The sequence below is a fragment of the Homo sapiens genome, chromosome 13 (genome assembly GCF_000001405.40).
Source record: "Homo sapiens chromosome 13, GRCh38.p14 Primary Assembly".
Taxonomy (NCBI): Eukaryota; Metazoa; Chordata; class Mammalia; order Primates; family Hominidae; genus Homo; species Homo sapiens.
Genome location: NC_000013.11, coordinates 67,734,356 through 67,737,618, shown reverse-complemented (window position 1 = coordinate 67,737,618; position 3,263 = coordinate 67,734,356). Strand labels below are relative to the sequence as shown.

At 35.8% G+C, this 3,263-nt stretch overlaps 1 annotated feature.

Annotated features, from left to right (window-relative positions):
- Positions 211 to 1,109: an enhancer, noted in NCBI's record as "OCT4-NANOG hESC enhancer chr13:68310642-68311540 (GRCh37/hg19 assembly coordinates)". NCBI's record gives its function as "activates a minimal SCP1, AML or CMV promoter by ChIP-STARR-seq in naive and primed H9 embryonic stem cells {active_cell/tissue: H9 hESC(naive and primed)}" and the evidence as "EXISTENCE:reporter gene assay evidence [ECO:0000049][PMID:30033119]".

Below are 3,263 nucleotides of genomic sequence, written 5' to 3'. Positions count from 1 at the left end.
TCATATTTTACTATAAAAAGCATACTGTTAAATTCAGGAAGATCTATGTTCATCAAGTTAATGATTAAACACTGGTAAATTTCCCCTTTTATTCTAATTCATTTGAAGTTTGCATTGTCAAGAATCACTTTTTAAAAATATATTGTGTAGCATGTTTTAGATTTGTTTTGATAGCATCCTTTTCTTTCCTCCAAACACAGTCTCAGTCACTCTCCATCCAGTCATTTTCAAGTATTTTATATATACTTTATGAAACCTCGTAAAACATCTTAATGGCCCAGGACGGTAAAAATGTGAGGTTGAAATGTGATATGGGTTATGATGTTTATAAAATACAGTTAAAGATTAATCTGGCAGCCTCAAATGTCTTTTTAAAAAATGGCAGTCTGCTGCTGAAATAAACACGCACACAATTTGAGGCAAAAACTTTTTTGTTTTAACTTTTTTTTTAACTACACAAGCTATTTACCAAAAAAAAAATACTTCATTCTGTGTTCTGTCTTACATTATATTCAGTATGCATCATGATGATCTCCCAGGGGACTTTTCAGGATTACTCATTCTTTGAATAATGGCTTGTATGTGGGCTTCAAAGAAATGCAGTAGGAGTGGGAAGAAAAACATTTGCATTTCCAAAGAAATGTTCTGAACTTCCCAGGGGACAGGGGACACTGAGAAAAGATTTTGTTGAACTGAGGGACACCTGACAGCCACTTAAGTGGCTCAGTGCATTCACAGTAAAAACTATTTTGCCTTCTCCCCATACCCTGGTTTTATGCATGAGAACAACTTGGTATTCAAATAATGCATAATCTCACTTACAGCACAGGGAATTCATTAATGGGTAATGCAGAGGAAAAGTGGGACAAGGTCATCCACAGAAAAAAGCAAAGCGCTCCCTTGTGGCAGGATAAGGTTTTATACAGTCTGATCTGAATTGAAAGACTTTGAGCCCCTTCTCTGCTTAGAGACAGTTTTGCTTTTCAACAGGAGCTGCTGAAGAAATGTAGAGTTTTGAAAAAAAGAAAATATGTTTTGATCAGCATTAAATTCAGGGCACTACTCTTCTGCTACTCGCTAATCATGAGTCTGACATTACCTTTCTTGGCCAAAGAAAAGTGGGGTCAATTCAATGGAAAACAAATGGCTTGAGCATGAAGCCACAATGCACTTGAGTCAGCTTTGTAAGGAAAAACTCTACCTTTATTTTCACTTAAGGGTTTGCAAAAATTTAAATATGAACCTAATGGCATGAGCATATAATGCACTATCCTCTTATACATAAATCTTGAAATTACATAGATTGTAGAACCATTAGAATTTTTTTCGTATAAAGTCTTTTATATTTTATACTCTATATTAATGCATTCATGTTTAATACTAAATATATTAATATATTTAATATATGAAATAATTTTATATTTTATAATGAAGTCTATAAATAAGTCTTTAGTAAGTCTTATAATCCTCAATATTTTCATTTAATATCAAAGTCACACAGGTAACAGATGACATCTTTTGCAAAATCTTTTTTTTTTAAATCATAGATATAGTTTTCTACTCTTACAGAATTTTCCCCTAAATGAACATATAAGTGTTCCTTGTAAAGGGTACGCATTCTGATCACTGGTAACTTTGCCCCTTGGTTCACTGACTGTATCTCCTCATTAGCATACAGATATTTAAATTTTCTCTAAATTGTCAAGAACTATAATCCACTCAGTCAGTTACTCATTGACTTTAATGATGAGTTTAACAACTTGTTGAGTTCCTGCTATGTGCCAAATACTGCATTCAGTGTGGGAAATTCAGCATAAATAAGGCAGATACTGAAACATTGTGGGGATTTTACAAGAGGATGTGTTAGTATTTTTAAGAGAGGATTCAGTTGGCATTTTAAAAGATGGTTGGCCTACTCTATGAAGATGGGTGTGAAACAAATACAGAGGCTTCAAAACCAGAGAAAAGCACTTTCTCCCCATTAGGGTAGATGTGATGGTTTTGCTTAGACTAGTGGCAGTGGAGGTAAAGTCTAGTGAATGGTCAGAGGGAAAGGACACAACTGGATAGAGAGAGAAGGAGATGTCATATTTCTTGCTACCAAGATCTCCGGGGGGCAGTTTATTTACTAAGATAGGTTAACTGGAGAAAAAATTTGTGGGGAACTACGTCTTCAATTCTGAACATGTCAAGATTTTGTTATTTCTTTGGCAAAAGAAAAAAAATCCGTTTAAAAAAGCACACACTAGGCTGGGCACGGTGGCTCACACCTATAATCCCAGCACTTTGGGAGGCTGAGGCCAGCGGATCACTTGAGGTCAAGAGATTGAGACCATCCTGGCCAACATGGTGAAACCCTGTCTCTACTAAAAACACAAAAATTAGCTGGGCTTGGTGGTGCATGCCTGTAGTCCCTGCTATTCGGGAGGCTGAGGAAGGAGAATCACTTGAACCCTGGAGGCAGAGGTTGCACTGAGCCTAGATTGCACCACTGCACTCCAGCCTGGTGACAAAGCAAGACTCCGTCTCAAACACACACACACACACACACACACACACACACACACACACACACGACACATGATTTTGGGGGTCAATGTGAAGGACTGCTCTGGATATACATTTTTTGTGATCCATTGAGATTTATATTATACCAGAACCACTGAGATTTATTTTATACTGGAAATTATGAAAATGAGTAAGGCATCTTAGAAAGAATGATTAAAATGACAATATAGCCATGATAAAGGCAAGTCTAGAAGAAGTCAAAATATAAGAATCATATAAAAAAGATAAAACCAAAAAGTAGAAACCAAAACAGTAGCCAAAAGGTGGAAACAAGAAAAGTGTGATATTGTTTATTCCATAAAGAAATGCTTTAATGAAAGAGTGTCTTGTATTGTCCAATAATTCAAATAACCTAACAAAAAGTAAAGTGAAATAAAAAAATAATTAATCCTGTGTTTAAATAAACAAGGAGATCTGAAAGAATAAAGTTTCCCCTTTATAAATTGATGCACAGCAGGGATAACAGCCTCTGAAGAAACAGTTTCAAAGAGATTAAACTGGATAGGGGATTTATAGGGATTTTGCTGATGAAGCCATGCTTGGGACAAGTGGTAGTGATTCCGGGAAAAGAAACTGCCAGGTTTTCAGTATCCTGACATTCAAGTTTTCAGCAAAATAGAACAGTTGTTGATTTGAGCAAAACGAAAGCACCTCTTCAGTTTCCTTGAGAAAGGCACAAGTTGTTACTTCTGGTA